This window comes from Homo sapiens, chromosome X (genome assembly GCF_000001405.40).
Source record: "Homo sapiens chromosome X, GRCh38.p14 Primary Assembly".
In the NCBI taxonomy this organism is placed as follows: domain Eukaryota; kingdom Metazoa; phylum Chordata; class Mammalia; order Primates; family Hominidae; genus Homo; species Homo sapiens.
The window spans coordinates 43765310-43787984 of record NC_000023.11 but is presented as its reverse complement, the minus strand read 5'-3'; the positions used below and the strand labels follow the sequence as shown (position 1 = coordinate 43787984).

Below are 22675 nucleotides of genomic sequence, written 5' to 3'. Positions count from 1 at the left end.
TAGCAACACCAGCAGTCTAAGACACCAGCTAATAATATTTAAAATTTTTTTGTCAATCAGGTAGGAGAAATTGCCTCATTTATCTATAATTTGTAATTTTTATCATTAACAAAGTATCATTTTGTAAATTACCTTTGCTCATTAAAGTTTTTTTCTGTTTATATTGCAAATATTTTCTCCCAGTGAATCAGTTTTTAACGATTTGTTGTATGATGGTTTCCCCCTACTAAATTCTCAGATACACATTGATTCTTTCTGTTCCACTGACCTTTTTCACTGCGTTCTAAACATTTTTGCAGCTCTACTTATTAAAAAATGTACACATAAACTATCACTATAGGTATTCCTAAATTGTACACAAGTACCTCTGAAAAATTATATCGTTGTAACTATAAAACATTTGAAAAGTAGACTTTTTAAAAAGCTTAAATTGAAAAACCAGAATCTCTAGTATTTTCTTCCACTATCTAGATGTGCAATCTAGGTGTACACCCCCACTTTGGAAAGCACAAGTTTATATTATCTAATCCTATGGCAGCATTGTACTGTTTTAATATCTGTAGCTTTATGATATGTTTATAATATGTTATATATTATGTCAGGTAGGACATTCCCTTATTATTATTTTTCCTTTAATTTTGTCCTTGGTAAACTTCTTCAGTTATTCATCCAGATGAATGTTATTATCATCTCATCAAAGCTCCTGCCTCCACACCCCTACATTACAAAAGCTTCTATTGACTTATTTTATTCTGAACATGCCTCTTTGTTACCTCCCAGAGCTACAATGGCTTCTTTTCTCTCTGAGAAAGTTAGCACTTTGGGGGAAATTTCTTCTACTACCTGAATTATTGGGTCCCTCCCCCTACCCACCCCCCCATAGTTTTTCTGTTTCATTTGTTAGTTGTGAATTTGTTTCTTCTTTGTCTTTGCATTTATTCTTTAAGAACTTCTTTAAGTGTTTGGATGTCCTTGAATATCATCTCTTTTTCTAAGAGTAAAGCCCTACAAAGCTGATGAGATGTTTTGTGTGCATGGGTGGGGCTCTTGAGCTTTCTATCTGCAAGTGGCAGAAATCTCTTCCATGCTGCATAGCTTGTCCTGGCATGAACATGACTTTTCTCTCTGCTCCTTGTTCCTTCACCTCCATTAAGTGCACTCACTTGACTCAGAGGCCAGATTCACTCTGAGAAGGAAGTGTCCAAGGAGCCCCTACATCGAGAAAGCAGTACTTCCACCTTGGCCAGCCTGGCATCCTATGCTGGTCCTGTCCAACCGATCCCCACATGATCAGTATGCACACGTTCTTTGATCAGATCTTGTCCTATTTGTCTGCTCTCTCTCTTGCCTTCTTATATTAGGGGATTCCTAAGATGGTTCTCTTGTATTTTTAAACCTTGAGCTCTTAGACTTTAAACATTTCTTCTTCACATACTTCAGACTTTCTCAACATCTTTTCCTGCCCCAGCATGCCTGAAGGACATTCAAACACCCCTCAAGCCAGTGGCAGATTGGGACATTGATTCTAACAGGTGCACAGTGGGGAGGGGTGCAGGAGACGAGAAAGAGACAAGTTCCCTTTAAAAGGCTTCCTGGTTTGTCTGCTTACACACACGTATGCACACATGTTGGGGAGGTCCTTTCTCTGTTCTTTCTTCCTTATTTTGAAATCTTCTTGTTGGGTTTTCTATACAACATTTGCCGCTGAGTCTTCCACAATAATTTTGTTCAAACAACCTCAATTTTGCAAGTAAATGATGGAGCAGAAGGAGTTGGACACTGCAGTAATATATTGTTATAACATTTCAGACTCTGCCCTGATATTTTCACCAGTGCCCTGTCACAGTCTTTTGAAATTGCATATACAGGCACACCTCTTTTTATTGAACTTCACTTTATTGCACTTTACAGATAATTGCACTTTTTACAAATTGAAGGTTTGTGGCAACCCTGCACTGAGCAGGTTTATCGGCATCATTTTTCCAACAGCGTGTACTCACTTTATGTCTCTGTGTCATATTTTGGTAATTCTAACAATATTTCAAACTTTCATTATTATTATGTTTGTCATGGTGATCTGTGATCAGTGGCCCTTGATGTTACTATTGTAATTGTTTAGGAGTTCCATAAACAGCACCCATATAAGATGGCAAACTTAATCGATAAATGCTGTATGTATTCTGACTGCTCAGTCAACCAACTGTTCCCCCAGATCTCCCCATCTTCTTGGGTATCTCTGTTCCCTGGGACACAACAGTAATGAAATAAGGCCAATGAATGACCCTACAGTGGTCTCCCCAGTGTTCAAGTGAAAGAAAGTGCTGCACATCTCTTGCTTTAAATCAAAAACTAGAAATGATTAAGCTTAGTGAGGAAGGCATATTGAAAGCTGAGATAGGCTGAAAGCTAGGCCTCTTGTGCCAAATACCCAAGTTGTAAATGCAAAATAAAAATTCTTGAAGGAAATTAAAAGTGCACTCCAGTGAACATATGAATGATAAGAAAGTGAAACAGCCTTATTGCTGATACAGAGAACTGAATGATCTGAATAGAAGATCAAACCAGCCACAATATTCCTTTAAGCCAAAGCCTAGATCCAGAGCAAGGCCCCCAACTCTCTTCAATTGAAGTTGAAGCTGCAGAAGAAAAGTGTGAAGCTAGCAGAGGTTGGTTCATGAAGTTTAAGGAAAGAAGCCTCCTCCCCATAACATAAAAGTGCAAGGTGAAGCAGCAAGGGCTGATGAAGAAGCTGCAGCAAGTTATCCAGAAGTTCTACGTAAGAACATTGACAAAGGTGGCTACATTAAACAACAGATTGTCTTGTTTTGTTTTGTTTTGAGATGGAGTCTCACTCTTTCACCCAGGCTGGAGCGCAGTGGCGCGATCTCGGCTCACGGCAACTTCCGGCTCCCTGGTTCAAGTGATTCTCCTGCCTCAGCCTCCCGTGTAGCTGGGGTTACAGTCACACACCACCATGCCCATCTAATATTTGTATTTTTAGTAGAGACGGGGTTTCACCATGTTGGCCAGGCTGGTCTTGAACTCCTGACCTCAAGTGATCCGCCCATCTTGGCCTCCCAAAGGGCTAGGATTACAGGCAAGAGCCACCACACCCGACCGGAAACAACAGGTTTTTAATATAGACCAAACAGCATTATATTGGAAGAAAATGCCATCTAGGACTTTCATAGCTACAGAAAGGAAGTCAGCACCTGGCTTCAAAGCTTCAAAGGACAGGCTGTCTCTATTGTTAGGAGTTAATGCAGCTGGTGACTTTAAGTTGAAGTCAATGTCCATTTACCATTCAGGAAATCCTAAGACCCTTAGGAATTATGCTAAGACTACTCTGCCTGTGCTCTATAAATGCTATCAAACAGCAACAAAGTCTGAATGACAGCCTATTTATTTATAGCATGGTTTACTGAATATTTTAAGCCCACTCTTGAGACCTACTGCTGAGAAGAAAAAAGATTTCTCAAAATGTTACTGTTCATGGACAATGCACCTGGTCACCCAAGGGCTCTGATGGAGATGTGCAAGGAGATTATTGTTGTTTTCATGCCTGCTAACACAATGTCCATTCTGCAGCCCATGGATCAAGGAGTAATTTCAACTTTCAAGTCTTATTATTTAAGAAATACATTTTGTAAAGCTATACCTGCCTTACAGTCCTCCTGCCTATCTGATGGATCTAGGCAAAGTAAATTGAAAACCTTCTGGAAAGAGTTCACTATTGTCAATGCCATGAAAAACATTCGTGATTCATGGAAGGATGTCAATACATCAACATTAACAGGAGTTTGGAAGAAGTTGATTCCAATCCTCATGAGTGACTTTGAGGGATTCAGTGGAGGAAGTAACTGCAGATATGGTGGAAATAGCAAGAGAATTAGAATCATAAGTGGAACCTGAAGATGTGAGTGAATTGCTGCCAACTCATGATAAAACTTAAATAGATGGGGAGTTGCTTCTTATGGATGTGCAAAGAACGTGATTTCTTGAGATGGAAACTCCTCCTGGTGAAGATGCTGTGAACATTGTTGAAATGACAAGAAGGGATTTAGAATATTACATAAACTTAGTTGATAAAGCAGTGACAGGGTTGGAGAGGATTGACTCCAATTTTGAAAGAAGTTCTACCATGGGTAAAATGCTATCAAACAGCATCGCAGCCTTCAGAGAAATTTTTCATAAAAAAAGGAGTCAATTGATGTGGCAAACTTCGTTGTTGTCTTCTTTTTTAAAATTGCCACAGCCACACCAACCTTCAGCAGCCACCACCCTGATCAGTCAGCAGCCATCAACATTGAAGCAAGCCCCTCCACCAGCAACAAGATTACAACTCACTAAAGGCTCAGATGATTGTTAGCTTTTTTAGTAATAAAGTATGCTTAAATTATGTACATATTTTAGATATAATTCTATTGCACATTTAATAGACTACAGTGTAGTGTAGATATAACTTTTATATGCACTGGGAAACCAAGCAATTTACGTGACACAATTTGCTTTATTACAATATTCACTTTATTTCCATTATCTGAAATGAAACCCACATTATCTTTGAGGTGTGCCTGTATTTTGTTCAGGAGGGAACTGAGGAAGACACTCTTATCCAGGATGAGCTGAAATTGTTTCTCAAGTTGTTCTTGACAGGGGAAAGAGTCTTTGGAGGTCATGTTTGAAATGAGGGTTTGGGACTCTATGAATTTCAATTATACATGTCCTCTCTGCTCTGCCTCCAGATAATAAATATACAATCATGTCATCTGCAAACAGAGACAATTTGACTTCCTCTCTTCCTATTTGAATATCCTTTATTTCTTTCTCTTGCCTGATTGCCCTGTCCAGAACTTCCAATACTATGTTGAATAGGAGTGGTGAGAGAGGGCATCCTTGTCTTGTGCTGGTTTTCAAAGAGAATGCTTCCGGCTTTTGCCCATTCAGTATGATATTGGCTGTGGGTTTGTCCTAAATAGCTCTTATTATTTTGAGATACGTTCCATCAATACCTAGTTTATGGAGAGTTTTTAGTATGAAGGGCTGTTGAGTTTTATCGAAGGCCTTTTCTGCATCTATTGAGGTAATCATGTGGTTTTGGTCATTGGTTCTGTTTACGTGACGGATTACGTTTATTGATTTGCATATGTTGAACCAGCCTTCCATCCCAGGGAGGAAGCCGACTTGATCATAGTGGATAAGCTTTTTGAGGTGCTGCTAGATTCAGTTTGCTAGTATTTTATTGAGGATTTTTGCATCGATGTTCATCAGGGATATTGGTCTAAAATTGTCTTTTTTTGTTGCGTCTCTGCCAGGCTTTGGTATCAGGATTATGCTGGCCTCATAAAATGAGTTAGGGAGGAGTCCCTCTTTTTCTATTGCTTGGAATAGTTTCAGAATGAATGGTACCAGCTCCTCTTTGTACCTCTGGTAGAATTTGGCTGTGAATCCGTCTGGTCTTGGGCTTTTTTTGGTTGGTAGACTATTAATTACTGCCTCAATTTCAAAACTTGTTCTTGTTCTATTCAGGGGTTCGATTTCTTCCTAGTTTAGTCTTGGGAGGGTGTATGTGTCCAGGAATTTATCCATTTCTTCTAGATTTTCTAGTTTATTTGCCTAGAGGTGTTTATAGTATAGTACTCTCTGTTGGTAGTTTGTATTTCTGTGGGATTAGTGGTAATATCCCCTTTATCATTTTTTATTGCATCTATTTGATTCTTCTTTCTTTTCTTCTTTATTAGTCTGGCTAGCGGTCTATTTTTTTGATCTTTTCAAAAAACCGGCTCCTGGATTCATTGATTTTTTTGAAGGGATTTTTGTGTCTCTGTCTCCTTCAGTTCTGCTCTGATCTTAGTTATTTCTTGTCTTCTGCTAGCTTTTGAATTTGTTTGCTCTTGCTTCTCTAGTTCATTTAATTGTGATGTTAGGGTGTTGATTTTAGATCTTCCCTGCTTTCTCTTATGGGCATTTAGTGCTATAAATTTCCCTCTAAACACTGCCTCCAGATAATAAAGAACTACTTAGAATAAGTGACTTTTCATAAAGTGTCAGTGTTCAGTCTCTTCTTTTTTACAGTAATGAACTGGTATTTCCTTTACACATCTTTGGATTTATTCTGATTTCTTATGAAAGAGAAAACAGGGAGCCCAAGTATTAACTGCAAGGAGAACCAGATTTCATTAAACGGTGACCTGGATGAATTCCTAATATCATATGCTTTATTCTTTGCAGAGAAGGGCTTATGGTTTGATTTTTTCAAAAAATGCTGGCTACTTATCCCTCCTTTGACATCAGTTTGGTTTGCCTTCATATGTTTGGAGTATAACATGCTTTATTTGGCCTTTGGGCTTCTCAAGTTTAAAAACATGCACTTCATTATATCTGTAATGGATATTTTGATAGAGTGATGAATATGCTCTTCCATTTTGCTGTTCTCTAAGATTACTGTGGAACCATGATTATTGATGGAGAAGAAGCTCCAGTTGCCTACACGTTGGATGATACCAAACCTGAAGGCAACTATGCTGCCATAATGGGGTAAGGCACAATTATGGTGTTGTGGCTGCTATTCAGTGTTGACAAGATAATCACATACTATTAACAAATGTGCCCCAAACTTTGTTAAGTGATTTTTTTTTTACCCAGTGGTATTATTTTTCAAATTCAGCGGTACAAAAATTATTACTGGTTCTTTTCTAAATAATGTCTTCCAATGAATAAATATCTAGGTAGGAAGCAGAATACCAATAACATTTTAAAATTTTTATGTTAGTTTTCTATTAGTATTTAGTGTTGGGGGTAGACATATTTAGGTGACCCATCTTTTGTTGAAAGCATGATAAAAAGACCTGACTTGGGGTGTTTTACTAAGAGACTTCTTGTGGAGGCTGTGTGGGCATCCATGTTACTTAAATGAGATGCTGAGATTTCTGAGTCCCAGTAGAGAAGAGCCAAGACCAGCCCAGTCTTCAGCTTTCCAGGGACGACCAGCACGTGGGAAGGGAAGACCAGGATATCCTGGCCCAGAGAGGTGGTGACCTGGAGTATCCAAAATTAAGATGGGCCTCAGGACATGTATGAGTTTATCTCAGAGAGAGCCAACAGTCAGAACAGAGAGATCAAAGCTAATTGTTAGTTGAAAGCAATCATGGGGCTAGAAATGGAGATGGAATCTAGAAGGTTGGGTGCTAGGGAGACACCATGGTGGAGACAAAACCAAAGAGCAAGGACTGGATGAAATTGGAAGAGCTCAGACATAGCCTTAAGTGGGCATCTGAGGCCCAAGGGTTATTCTTATTGACCACCAGCTGGGTGAGGGGAAGTGGGTCAGCCATAGTGTTATCCAAGGCAAAAATTATGGCCAGTCATCTACTTTTAGTCGCTTGATTCCTTGAAGTTAGAAAGTGCTCTTCAGTGTCAGAAATTTGATATGTAAATCATAAAACTTTGAACGTAAGAAAAGCTAGTGTATAGTTTGTTTCTTTTGGTTGACTTAACTGTGTAAACTGGGCACATGTGTAGCTACGAAAATGAGGCTAGGATGAAACCAACCATTAATTTCTCCCCTTTTTCTTGTTTATATTCTTTAGATTTATCCTGGCCCACAAAGCCAGAAAACTGGCACGTCTTACCAAAGAGGAAAGGTAACAAAAGAAATGCTGCTTCTTTCGTTTCTTCCTTCCTTTCCCCCCCACTCCATCCCTCCCTCCCTTTTCTCTTTCTTTCCTTCTTTTCTACCTACTTGCCTGCCTTTCATTTTTACTTAACTTTTTAACTTACGGACTGCCTAATTATATGTGTATTGCCAGTGCTACGTGTTTGCTATGTTAATTATAAGGGTCTTGTTGTAAAAGACATAGTGCTGATAACTTAAGAACCAAAGTATTCAAATTAATATTTATTGAGTTTATTGTACATAAGACACCATGCTAGGGGCTACGGAGAATATGAAAATGGATATAACCCAGGGGCTGAAAATTTGCTTGTGAAGGAGATAAACCAGGGAGAAAAATTACTGTGTTGTGGGGAAGTCTGCTGTACACATACTACATGAATGATGCATAACAATTACAGATTATAGGTACAGTGGGACTAATTCCTCTGGAGGTGGCAATTTCTTCTTGCAATTAGTGTTCACCAGTGCCAATTATTTATTCCCACACCACTGCTAATAACCTATTTACCAGGAAAGAGCTCCTGAATTATATTATGATGCATGCTTTCCGATTCCATCAGGGTTCTCCTCAATGACCAATGTTACCTCTGCACATAGCCAGGGCCGTAGCGGTCTGCCTCGGCCTCTTCCCTAAAAATGTCCCCACTAGAATATAAGATCATGAAGGTAGGATGTTTTGTCTGATTGGCTCACTGCTGGGTTTCCAGTGTCTGGAACAAATCTTTTCCCACTTTGCCTTTTGATCCTGTTTATGGCTTATTCATTTTATACTATAATAAAATTTTATCTTTTTATGTAATCAAATTTATCCATTTTAAAACCATGGTTTCTGAGTATCTATCATACATAGAAAAGACTTTCTCATTCCAAGATAATTTTTTAGAAATCACCCATTCTTCCACTCGTTTTATGGTCTGACCTATTATATGTAAATCTTTGATCCTTCTGAAACATATTTTGGTGTAAGAAAATAACGTAAGCATCCTACTTTATTTCTTTCACGAGCAGCTATTTGTCCCAGTGCCATTTTATTGAAAACTGTCTTTTCCCTGTGGGTTCAAAATGTCCACCTTTATGAATTCTAAATTTCCTTATATATTTGGTTCTACTTCTGTACTTATTTCTTTGCTCTTTCTATCCATTCCTCTGCTTGTGGCAAGTTACATCATTTGTATAAAAACAAAGAAAAAGACAGAAAGAGAGAGAAAGAAGAGAGGGAGGGAGAAGAACTTAGGCATTTTCATAAACATTTGTTTCAGAAACATTTTGTTCATAAACAAAAGGGCTCCTGGATTTAAAATAATAAAATAATACCATGATTCAGGCAACATGTCACTTTACTTTCTTAAAGACTTACCAGCAATCCTGTGTGATTAATATTTGTGACCTCAAAGATTTAAGACATCTGAAATGGAACAAAATGCCTTGTTTTAAAAAATTAAAATGAAATGCTGGAGTGGAATCAATGGCTCATGGAATCTTTTTTATGAGGGGATAAATGCCTCTTTCCCACTTTTTTTTTCCCTCCCTTCTTTCCTTTATTTTCTCTTTTGTCTCTTTTCATTCACAGGTTGAAGAAACTTTGTGAACTCTATGCCAAGGTTCTGGGTTCCCTAGAAGCTCTGGAGGTAAGGCTGCTTCCCAACCCTATACTAAGGGTGAGAGGCCTTTCTTTGTCCCCAAGTGACTAGCAGGGATAGGTTAATGCAAGTTGGGTCCTGAAGTTCATGTTTTTCCCAATATATTTGCAGAGGCATCTACACAGGACTGGTCAGTTTACAAGTGGTTCCAGAGAGTGTGGGCCCTGGCTGTGCTGGTGGCAGGTCAGGGAACTTGCAATATGCTGTGGTTTAGGTGATGCTACATTGTCCCTGAATTCAGAGTTTCTTCCTGGGAGAGGGCATTGGGTCACTCTGCTTCCAGTTCTGTTAGGGGGGTAAAAGAGGGGAGCTTCTACTACCCATAGGAAGATCCTAGATCCTGGTAGCCAGGATGGGGATGAAAAGGGCTTTTTCCCCTCTCTGGTGATCTTGTAAGAAGGACAGAGTCTCACTCAGGTACATAAACCTATACCTACCCCATCCCCCACTGTCTCACAGTAAAAAAATAAGATTACCTGTCCCCACTCCTGCATGCCCTCTTTTCTGCCTTGTTTTACCCTTGAACATGAGAGATGTAAAGAAGACAGGCTGTCTGTCTGTATGCCAGTTGAGTTTTCTAGACACCTTTGGAAGTAGCCTGAGAAAACGGTGATCTTCAAATGAATCAAGTAGAACTCTAAGGTGGTTAAAGGTGGGATAGGGGCAGGGTAGGGGGCATTTGGTGACAGTCAGAGGGCCCAAAGTACTCATAACAAGTACCCATAATCACCTCCCTCATCAATATTTAAAATGATGAATTGGTGTTCTCATGACATTCATCAGACTGCTAAGTTTTTAATGTTTTGACATAGACTATGTCACCTTTTGAAAGTGATTATTAAATCCAATTATCTGTGAAGCATTTGAAGACAATGGAGACCAATGTACAAATGAGCAGTTAATGCGTGAGAAAAGTCTAATGAGGAGGCTGAGAATGTTTAACTTGTTAAGCCTCTTAAATCCAAGTCTCTGTAGTATATACCACAATCTAGTTGAGCAGCTACATGACTTAGTCCTATTACTCTAACACTTACTTTGCTCAGCTTTGGAGTGACTTGCTTCCTCCTGGTTAAGTTGTTGTGTCTTTCAAATTTGTCATTTTTGTTCACTATTTTAAAGCAAAATTCTCTCCCTCCCTCCTCGCCCCACCATTGCAGATCTTCTGTACTTGATACAGGTGAAACACATGCTCTTGATGTTTCTTGGAATTCTTTCTCAGCAAATAAACTAGAACAATTAGAGAAACAATATTAATGAGGAATATGTTTTGCTTTTTTTTTTTGCTTTCATATACCAATTAGCAAGTTTAAATATAGGCATAGCCTCCAGGCTCAAGGATATTGAGTAAAGTATCAAGACAAAAAATACAGTATATACTCACTAAAAACAGAACTTAACATCTGTTAAAAATTATTAGTTTTTCTGTTTAAAAATGCCATTCAGCATGATTTATAATCCTTTGGGTATATACCCAGTAATGGGATTGCTGGGTCAAATGATATTTCTAGTTCTAGATCCCTGAGGAATCGCCACACTGACTTCCACAGTGGTTGAACTAGTTTACAGTCCCACCAACAGTGTAAAAGACATATGCACACGTATGTTTATTGCGGCACTATTCACAATAGCAAAGACTTGAAACCAACCCAAATGTCCAACAATGATAGACTGGATTAAGAAAATGTGGCACATATACACCATGGAATACTATGCAGCCATAAAAATGATGAGTTCATGTCCTTTGTAGGGACATGGATGAAGCTGGAAACCGTCATTCTCAGCAAACTATCGCAGGGACAAAAAACCAAACACTGCATGTTCTCACTCATAGGTGGGAATTGAACAATGAGAACACATGGACACAGGAAGGGGAACATCACACACTGGGACCTGTTGTGGGGTGGGGGGAGGGGGGAGGGATAGCATTTGGAGATATACCTAATGTTAAATGACGAGTTACTGGGTGCAGCACACCAACATGGCACATGTATACATATGTAACTAACCTGCACGTTGTGCACATGTACCCTAAAACTTAAAGTATAATAAAAAAAAATGCCATTCAGTGCTAGAGGTCTGGAGAATAAAGAGTGTGGAGTTGATTTAAAAAAAAAAGCCATTCAAGATATTTCACCCTGGTAGATATTCAAGCTTTGTGAAGTTACATTCTGAGGCACTCCCAGGCTAAAGCAGTTTGTTAATTGAAGTTCCTGCAACAACTCGTGAGATGGTTGTTTGGGGAACTTCAGTTGAAGGGGAAAGCATTTGTCCTCATATTTTGAAAAAGGCTGATCATTTTTCATTTGAGAAAGTCTCTTTTCCTAAGAAGGGTGTGCATGATTAATTCCTGATGATAAAAATAAGTTGGTCCTGTCCTTGTTTGCTCTTGGCATAGAGAAGGCCACTTGTTTTCTTTTTGCTTTGGTGTCTATTTTGTGGAAGGAAGAAATTCCTGGGAACAAGATACATTGAAAGATAAAGTCCAACTTTTCTTCTGATTGGCTGGAGACAGCCAGAGAAGCTTGCTTAGGAGGTGGATGTAGCCGTCAGGTGCTGGGGCGTGTAGCGTGGTGATACCACAGAAGACCTGGAGCCACTTAACCCATCAGGCAGAACCTCATAATCATACTTTGTAAATAGGATGCCTTACAAATGACTGTCCAAAGTCAGCTGTGTGATTGCAATTCTTTTAAACAAAATGTTTTTCAAAATCTCCCTTTAAAACAAACATTGTTTTCTTAAAACTTGCTACGTTGATTTTATCTTTTCGAAGTAATGCTTAATGATAAAGCTTCTGTTTGGTTACTTTAAAAAAGCATTTGAGCTTTACAAAATCTCTGCCAATTTTTCCTGTTCGTGTCAAAAACATATTTTTCAGACCAATAGTTGTTTACAAATACCACCATCAACAGAAGTGCTTGCCTGCCACAAAAACATGTTTGTTCAGCCTCCCTCAAGAAAGCTCACCTCCACCAAAACATGAACCTGATAATCCTTTTTCTTCAACAGACATATTTTTCTGTCTTTTTTTCCTATCCAGTCACTCCAGTAAACATAAATCCTTTTAAAAACTTTTCTTGAAACCATCAGGCACTAAAACTTTTTAATAGGTAAAACCAAGGTAAAAATGGAATTAGATTATCGCAATTTATGAACAGTACTTAAGATACAAAGAAACCAAATGAAAAAAACATTCTAAGATCTGAATTTCTTAGAAGCTTATTACCAAGGACATTTACCTGCCCAAAGACATATCTTTAAAAACATCAGGATAATGCAACTCTATTTCCGAAATACATTGGTTTGACAATACAAAGCCTACTAAACTGTTCGATTTATTCTAGGCTAAATAGCTTTCTCTGAGTCTCCTTCAAGTTTTTGTTGCTCTATCTTGCAGCCAGTGCATTATGAAGAAAAGAACTGGTGTGAGGAGCAGTACTCTGGGGGCTGCTACACAACTTATTTCCCCCCTGGGATCCTGACTCAATATGGAAGGTAGAGTAAAAGCATGCTAAGCTGTTACAGAAATCCCCTGCACCTGAATCCAAAACCTAAATAGGTTCAGGTAGCTCTTCTCCCTTGTTTCTTATAAATACAAAAAAAAAAAAAAAAAACAACCCAATTTCCTTTGTATCTTATGAATGAAATCGTGTATCTTATGAATGAAATCATTATAATTATACATACATCATGGTGCTGCTTTTCCCTGGAAGAGCAATTCCAATCAATATAACCATAGAAGGTTTCAGCATAAGAATAGCATTTTACCCCATTCTTCATGATATGATTATTACGCATTGCATGCCTGTATCAAAACACATCATGTACCCATAGATATATACACCTACTCTGTACCCATAAAAATTAAAAATCAAAAAAGAGTAGCATTTTAGGTAGTCCAAGGGTTCACCCAATGTCAGAAGAAGTGTCCTTATACTGAGTTAGGACTCAGTAAAACTTCCTCAAATGCCACTGTACAACTGCCAACACGGGGACAAAATTATAAAAACAAAATGAGTTCTAGACTGGGCATGAAGAGACTTGGGTCCCAGCTCTGATTCTACCAATAACAAACTTTGTCATGCCAAACAGGTCACTTCTCCTTTCTGAACCTCACTTTCTTAGCAAGTGGATGGGAAAGCACAAAATGATGAAAAGTGAGCAATAATCAGTATGCTCAAGAAAGTATGAGTTTTTTTTATTTTTTGATCCTAATCCTTAGATGCTGGGAAGTATGAGTTATTTTTTAACATCCTTATTGAGACGTAATTCACATACCATACAATTCACCTATTCAAAACGGTGCACAGTTCAATGGCTTTTAGCATTCACAGCATTATACATCCAAGTGTGTTGTTGTTTAGTTAATTTATTTGATGACAATAAATGAACTAATAATATAGCAGTGATTTTTATGACTATTATACTATTACTAAACCAAGCAATAATTTAATGCCAAAAGCTTAATCTAAACAGGATGAGAAATGTAGACTAGTGAGTCAAAGACTGTTGAAAGTATGCAGCAAACAGAGGGGGTAAGTGGAAATGGCTAATCAATCTGTCCATGAAAACTGGTCGAATAAGGAGTAAAACCTGCTTATCAGAAGATACGTAATAACTTTGGTTAGCACTTTCTTTACCTGCTTAAAGATGGCAAAATATTATCCAAGAGAACATTCTGGGGCCAAGGGGCAGCACCTGATAAGCTGCTGGGTCATTAAGTTAATTTTTAGATATGCTGACTGTGTTACTCTATTTTCACACTGCTGATAAAGACATACCTGAGACCGGGCAATTTACAAAAGTAAGAGGTTTATTGGACTTACAGTTCTACATGGCTGGGGAGGCTTCACAATCATGGCAAAAGGCAAGGAGGAGCAAGTCACATCTTACGTCGATGGCAGCAGGCAAAGAGAGAGCTTGTGCAAAGAAACTCCCGTTTTTAAAACCATCAGATCTTGTGAGATCCATTCATTATCACCAGAACAGCACAGGAAAGACCCCCGCCCATAATTCACTCATCTCCCACTGGGTCCCTCCCACAACACATGAGAATTATGGGAGCTACAATATGAGATTTGAGTGGGGACACAGAGCCAAATCGTATCACTGAGTGTAGAATATGTCAATGGTATTTGTTTCATTCTGCATTTATTGGCTAAGTGCCAACCATTTGCGAAGCACTGTGCTGAGAACTTCAATACCAAGGACAGCCTCCCTGCTGAGAAGGAGCTGACAGTGTTGAGGGCTAGGGTGGGGATGGGGAGAGGACATGATATCAAAAATTGACTCTAAAGTACTGACATATGTCCCTGGAAGGGAATAAGGATAAAGGAGGGCACTACTGTATCACCACTCAGAATGTTACCACTGAGGTAAATGCTCTAATACAGGGGCATAGAGATACCACTGGAACACACAGAGGCACAGGCTAGCTTTACTTAGAGAAATCTGGGAAGGCTTCATAATGCACATACCACCTGAGGGTTGTAGGAGGCAGAGAAAGGCTATTGGGGATGCAGTCTATGCAGATGGAATGGCATGAGGAAAACGCTAGGATCCCACAGGTTTCTGGAAAGTCTGGGGAAGAACTTTGCATGGATGGTGTATTAGGCCATTCTTGCATTGCTTAAAATAAATACCTGAGTCTGGGGAACTTATAAAGAAAAAAGGTTTAATTGGCTCATAGTTCTGCAGGCTATACAAGCATGGTGCTGGCATCTGCTCAGTTTCTGGTGAAGCCTCAGGGAGCTCACAATCATGGCAGAAGGCAAAGTGAGAACAGGCAAGTCACATGGCGAAAGCAGGAACAAGCAAGTGTGGTGGGGAGAGGTACCATACACTCTTAACGTGACCAGATCTTGCTAGAACTCACTATCATGAAGAAGGCACCAAGCCATGAGGGATCCGTCCCCATGATCCAAACACCTCCCACCAGGCCCCACCTCAAGCATTGGAAATTACAATTCTACATGAGATTTGGGCAGGGACAAATATCAAAATATTATATCAGATGGGCTATGGGTGATATTAAGGACAGAATGGAGAATCAGATCAAAGGGGGAGGAAGAACAGTTTGCCCTATATGACACATTCAGGAATACAAAACTTGATATTTCAACAGAGAACAGCTATCACTGCATTACTTTTGTTTTTGGCTTTGTTTTAAATCAGAAGTGTGATATGATTAGATTTCTGACCACAGAGTGGTGGGTTTTATGCTCAATTTCATAAATACCTTTTGGTTTGGGGAACAAAGAGGACACTAACCTGAACTGGCCTGATCCTGACCACGTGAGAGAAGCAAGATAAATCCCATTGTATCTGGCATTGGTGGTGATACAGTAATGCCTTCTTTTATCTTTATTCCTTCCCAGGGATATATGTCAGGCTTCCTATAACTACCTTCAATTTTTAGGGTAGAAACTAAGGCACAGCATAGCTTAACATAATTCCCAGCTTGAACAGAGACTACCTGCCCAGAAGACTTCCCTTGACCCTTCAGGGCCATGGTATTTAAGATATTGCAATAAGTTTTATATTCAGAGCCCTGAAAGTTCACAGTACATGTTCTGAAGGAAAAGAGAAGACAGAATTACCAGTACAACTTGGTAAAGAACTAAATATACATTTCTTAAGAAATGTTTCTTCTGGATAGGGTGAAAAAAATGATTGTCGTGATTATGCAGTAAAACTCATAAGCCACAAGAAATATATGTGGAGTTCCCCTTTATGATGTCCTATATCTTTTGTAAATATATACTGTCTGTTCACGCACCTGCAAAAGAAGGGGCAGGTATTTTTCTTACCTGGTTGTTGGACTCTTTTTTTCCCTTAAAGGAACATAATTTCCAAATGACAAGTGGCGGGAAACTATCTCTTTGTTTAAAATTAATTCTTGGTTTTCACATATTCTGATTTATAGTATGATTAGTTCTCTAAGCCTTTGTTCTGTCTTCTAATATTTCATTCTTAGGGTCTAGCCAGGCCTCCTAGAGGTCTCCAGCTGGGGTTAGTTTTCTCCATTGAAAAAAAAGTAAACATGTAGTGAAAAACGGCATTGTTTAATCAACACGGGGAAAGTCAATCCACCTTCTCTTGTAGGAAGGGTTCCTTCCTGAGTACCCTTAGGCTCTCTATATATTTCATGTGTTGTCATCAATATACTAATACAGGTGTTCCTCAAAATATGATGGGGTTATATCCCAATAAACCCACCATAAATTGAAAATATTATAAGTGGAAAATGCGCTTAATACACCTAATGTACTGAATATCATAGTTTAGCTTAGCTACCTTAAACGTGCTCAGAACACTTATATTAGCCGACAGTTGGGCATAATCATCTAACAGAAAGCGTATTTTATAATAGAGGGTTGAATATTTCATGTCAAGTTTTAAATACGGTATTGAAAGTGAAAGACAGAATGGTTGTATGGGTACTTGAAGTATGGTTTCTACTGAATGTGTATTGTTTTAACACCATCATAAAGTTAACAATTATACGTTGGAGACCATCTGTATTCTATATAATATCTCTCCTTGTATTTTCTTCTCCTTTTTGTGATGACTACAATCAGAGCAGGTGAAAGAAAACCCACCAATGCAAGCCAGCTCATTTGGTTTTCTAATAAAAGGCCCAGTGGTGTACAGTGTTGACTAAGATGGAACATGGATGTTAGTTCTTGACATCGCTTATCAGATATAAGAGAACCATGAGACAGGATGAATAATGGCATGTTGACGGTGCTTTCCTTATGGTATTTTTGTCAGAGCAACAATGAACTGCCCCTCTTACAGGCCAAGTGCTATGACATTTCAGTCCCTTGTATAGCATGTGGGCAGTCTACTAACTATTAAATATTATAGGGTGATGATACACCAGGCAAAGAATATAAGATAAAAATAGAGACTTTGACATCTGTTAGACATGGTTCAAATCCTGGCTTTGCTATTTTCTAGGAGTGTGGCTCTTGGCATATCACTGAACATTTCTCCAAGCCTCAGTCTTCTCATATGTAAAAATGAGATAATGATAATAGTAGCTACATCACAGAGTTCTTTAATAGATTGAAGAAATAATGCAGTAGAGAGAGGAAGTATAACTAAGTGGTTAAGACTGTAGGTTCCAGAGTCAGATTGCCTGTGTTCAAATACCAACTCTGCTACTTACTAGCTGTGACCGAGAGCAAATTACTTTGTCTTTGTTGCTGGTTAGGTTCCAGGAAGCAGACCCTGAAACAACGATTAGCAGACAGGATATATATTAAGGCATGCCCTTAGGATTGGCAGCTGTGGAAGGGAGAAGGAAGCAGGAGTGGGCATAGGGAGAACTTGGGCTGCAGTGCAGTTCCAGTGAAGGCCTCAGCTGACCCCAGAGGAAGTTCCAGAACTAGAATGGCCCTTCAGAGTGGGAGGTCTCAAGTTGGAGCTTGGGAATCAGGTATTTACAGCCCGTGGTGATCAGTCACTGGATGCAACTGCTATTGGAAGGAGGCATGACCTAGTAGGTAACATAGTTTTTTTTAGCAGAGGCAATCTCCAAAGAGGGCTGACATCAGTAGGCCCTCTTCTGGCAGCACTCCCAGCAGCTGGGAATAAGTCTTTCATTCTTGAAGGGGGCCTGCGTGGTTCATCACAATGTCCACCACAGTCTACCTCCATATTCTTATCTGCAAAATGGTGATAATAATAGTACCGACCTCACCAGTACAGGCAAGTGTTCAAGGAATAGGAGTTATGGAGCCATAGTCAGACTCTCAGATTTGTTAAATGTTACTGATTGAAAGGGTCTTAGAAATCAGTGGACCATTCCCTTTAAGAGGCAAGGAAGCCAGAGCACAGTGAGAGTAAGTGATTTGCCAAGTTCACTAGTGGAATAGCCAGTGGGGAATTGGGGGCATGTATCACCTTGCCACAGAGCCAGTGAGCCATAAAGGGAGCCATGTGACTGGGCTTACACAGTCCCTCACTTCATGTTGATGAAGCAAATACATAATTTACGTCCATTAATGTCAGCTCCTTCACCTGCAACTCTTGGTGCAGGAGTGAACTTTGGCTTTTATTCTATTTTGTTTGTGACAAGGATCATGTAAGAGCTGGAGGAACCACATAAACATTATTCCAAAATTGCCAATGTCCTTCTTGATTGTTTAGAATCTGTGGAAGCTGACCAGCATTGGTCTTTATGGGAAAACTTTTCTCTGACTCTCTGAGACTGACCACTTTTGCCTCTTTGGTTTTGTTCCAAGGGTTCTACGCCAGCCAGTGGACAGGATTTACTTTGCAGGCACCGAGACTGCCACACACTGGAGCGGCTACATGGAGGGGGCTGTAGAGGCCGGGGAGAGAGCAGCCCGAGAGGTAGGGTCTGGGGTCATAGATTATGGGGAAGGAGGCAACTCATGGTCCTGACATGTAGGTCAAAGATATCTGAGAGCCTGGAGACCAACTCTCCAGTAACCCCCATCTTAAGACCCATAAAATACTATTTTAACTATTGTCTCAGGTGAAGTGAACACCTTAGCCCGAAGTAATAATGAAAATACCTAACATGTCACCCGAAGTAAAAAGAGCCCATGGGGCAAACGATCAACCTGACTATACTTGAAAGGTAACCTAGGTCTGATATTCTAGAACCAAACATGCTTCTATTAGGACTCAAAATTCAATTCATTTCACAGGAAAGATTTTCTGACAGTTCCTCTGATGTCATCCCTATTTGAGGTGTGTTCATAACTATTAAAATTTATGGTAAGCCTAATGATTGGAACCTCTTATACCACAGGAGAAAGACCTTTTGGCGCCTCTTAAAGGTTGTATGGAGTGTTCTGGCCTTTACCTTGGTGTTTTTGATGGATATCTCAAGAGACAGTTACTTAGTCCTTTAGGGAGCAGATTAGAAGAAAGATGGTGTCACTTTTGCTATTTGCCAGTGTGTTCTTTCATTTCAGATCCTGCATGCCATGGGGAAGATTCCAGAGGATGAAATCTGGCAGTCAGAACCAGAGTCTGTGGTAGGCTATGTTTTATTTCATGAAATTAGATATCTTTTCTCTAAACCCATTATTTTCAAGAAGAGCACACTTGTATATATTCACATACCTTTTCCTAAGTGATTCAACTAAGTGATTTAAACATGAATGTTTAAATAAGTATCATGGGTTAGGGTAGAGGTGAGAGATTTAGATGAACTTTGATAAATTTGTAGCTGTCACATTCATTACAGATTATTAGGAAAAAATATTTTTTGATGAGGAGGGAGACATTTCTCGGAGACTTCTAAAAATAATAACTCAATAAATGCCTGTCAAATAAATATCTAGCCTGGTGATTCTCCACATGAGGTAGGAAAAGAAAGGAAAGTGTGTTAGCATCTCCTGTCCAGGGACAAACAAATGGAATGAAATGGAGAATATTTAGATTAAAATTTTATTTTTAATATACTCATCATTTTTGTAATAAAATCCTAGGAAGTTTTCCTGGCTGGAAGGAGGGATGCATAGAGGTTAGAGTGCAAACGCACTTTAGAGGACAAAGTCACAAAGGTCAGAATTATTGCTCTATCCTTTTAAGTGTGAAGTCAAAGAGAATAGGCCTGCCACTCCACAGTCATTCTCTTAGTGCTTCTGCCAGGGATGGGATTGTGGGCTGTAGGGACCATTGATTCATTTACTAACAAGTATTTATGGCACACGTGTTCTGTATCAGCCATTGTGGCAAAGGCACAGCAGCATTTTTGTGGAGCTCAACATCTGGTGGAGAATGCAGATGATAACCAAAAAGTACAGAACAGTGAAGAAGACATGCTGAGAAAAAATGCAAAAGGAGAATGTCATCCTAGGCTGGGGTCTCAGGAAAGAAAGCCTCCCTGAGGAAGTGAAGGGTCCAGTGAGGAAGACAGGGTAAACAGTATAAGCAGAGGGAACATCGTGTTTACTGGTCTAGACGTTGGCAAGAATGGGTCATGTTCAGAGAGCTGGAGAAAGTACAGACTTTCTGGAATAAAGTGCACAAGCCCTGTACTAATACCCAATGTTTTCTGAACCTAGGATGTCCCTGCACAGCCCATCACCACCACCTTTTTGGAGAGACATTTGCCCTCCGTGCCAGGCCTGCTCAGGCTGATTGGATTGACCACCATCTTTTCAGCAACGGCTCTTGGCTTCCTGGCCCACAAAAGGGGGCTACTTGTGAGAGTCTAAAGAGAGAGGGTGTCTGTAATCACACTCTCTTCTTACTGTATTTGGGATATGAGTTTGGGGAAAGAGTTGCAGTAAAGTTCCATGAAGACAAATAGTGTGGAGTGAGGCGGGGAGCATGAAGATAAATCCAACTCTGACTGTAAAATACATGGTATCTCTTTCTCCGTTGTGGCCCCTGCTTAGTGTCCCTTACCTGGCTTAGCGTTCTGTTTCACCAGTTTCCAAGTTTATTGCCCTCAAAATCTTTAGAATAGTTAAATTGGCTTGTTTAAGGTTCTTGCTGCCCCACAACACACCTTGCCCATGCACAAGGAATGAATTTTTTCCTACCATTATGGCTTTGTGCTTGTTCTTCCTCTTACCTGTAATAGCCTCACCTTCCCTAGTTCTTTGCATTCGTCCTTAGAATACTGTATTGTTACAGCTGAAAGACAGTAAAGACCATTTAGTCCTCACCTTCTGTTTTAGAGTTGAGCAAACTGAAGCCCACAGAGGTGGAACTTAATTACCTAAGAGCCACAATAAGCCACTGGTATCTGGGGGACTAGAACACAAATCCAACGCTTTTCCCACCTCTTTGGATGTTTTCCCCAATTATCCTCCTTCACTCCCTGTCATAGTTACCGATGGTGTCCCGTTGTGTGGGTTTACTCTGTGCTAAGTTGTCTTACACTTCTCAAATGCTACTCAGTATATAGCCTTAAGTCTTACTGTTTTGTGCGGTGTGTCTCCAGCTGATTTTAACTTTTTTGATGGTAGAAATTTTATCTCTTCTTCCTTTTGTATCCTCCATTGTATCTTCATACAAAGGACAGTACACACTTGGGTAATTAAAAATAAAAGTTGATTGACCATATCTGCTGTCCTTTCTTTTTGGGTAATGACTTTCAAGCTTTGGACACATCAAATCAAGATCCAGTATTAAGTATATAATTGTGACTTGAAAGCATTTAGTCAAAATTTCCTTGAAGCCTGGATGATGCATGCATTTGATTGCATGATCCATCATGGGTGGCATATGTGTGAGCATGCTGAAAATGATTTATAAAGATATGGTAAGAATACTAAAAGATGCAGTTCCTTGCCTTCACTACCCCAAAAAATACCTGCCAAAATAAATGACATATTAATAAGCAAGATGCTTAAACTATTAAGCTAATTATAATATTTCAGTTGACATTTCATATTCCTTCTTGGTGCAAAGCTTTTTACTAGGTACACTCATTAATTTGAAACTGCAGTTTCACAGTCCATTAAATTCTATTTGGACTATTTTTTAAATGGTATCATCATTTCAAAGCACTCATACCTCTCGACTCCCACCGTCAGTTTTCATTGGTATGTTTTTTAAATCCATAAATGGCCATTCTTATACTTTTGTTTAAAAAATGAAGCTTATTCTTAGCATAAGTGAAATTGAAGAAATCTCCCAAGATTAATTAATAATAGTATAGAGTTTCTGATTTTACAGTGGCATTAACATGTATGAGTTTATGGAAAATTTAGGGACTGTCTTACTCTATTTTGTGTTGTTTGTTATAACAAAATATCACAGACAGAGTAATTTATAGTGAACAGAAATTTATTGACTCATGATTGTGGAGGCTGGGAAGTCCAAGATCAAGGAACTGGCATCTTGTGAGGGCCTTTTTGCTGTGTGGCAGAAGGCATCACATGGGTGAGAGAGTGCAAGAGAGGGCTAAACTCATCCTTTTATAAGGAATCCACTCCTGTGATAACAAATCCACTGCCATGATAATAGTATTAACCCATTTATGAAAGCAGTGCCTTCATGACCCAAACATCTTTCATTATTAGATGTCACCTTCCAACACCACTGCACTGGGGATCAAAGTTCCAACACATGAACTTTGGGGGATACATTCAATCCATAGCAGATACTAAATGGGAAACCCACCAAGATTTTCTTTGTAACCATTTTTTTTTATTCTCTCTAAAAATGTACATGGCATGGGGTGCCTTCTTGAGCATCTTCTCCAAAAAAGTCTCCCTAAAAGTTGATCTCATTGCTAACTCTAATGCATCTGCTAAGAAAGAGTCAAGGGCTGGCCACAGTGGCTCACACCTGTAATCCCAGCACTTTGGGAGGTTGAGGCAGGCAGATCGCTTGAGCTCAGGAGACCAGCCTAGGCAAC

The 22675-nt window shown here is 39.3% G+C and overlaps 1 protein-coding gene across 2 annotated transcripts in view; it reads left to right on the top strand.

The window, feature by feature from the left end:
* Positions 1–21375, top strand: part of MAOB (monoamine oxidase B) — a 115841-nt gene extending 94466 nt beyond the window's left edge. For both annotated transcript variants that reach the window (NM_000898.5, XM_017029524.3), the window contains exons 9-15: positions 6441–6537; positions 7590–7643; positions 9246–9303; positions 12713–12810; positions 18567–18678; positions 19269–19331; positions 20367–21375. In NM_000898.5, coding sequence (NP_000889.3) covers positions 6441–6537; positions 7590–7643; positions 9246–9303; positions 12713–12810; positions 18567–18678; positions 19269–19331; positions 20367–20519 — 635 coding nt within the window. In that variant the 3' untranslated portion in view covers positions 20520–21375. The remainder of the gene's footprint in view (positions 1–6440; positions 6538–7589; positions 7644–9245; positions 9304–12712; positions 12811–18566; positions 18679–19268; positions 19332–20366) is intronic.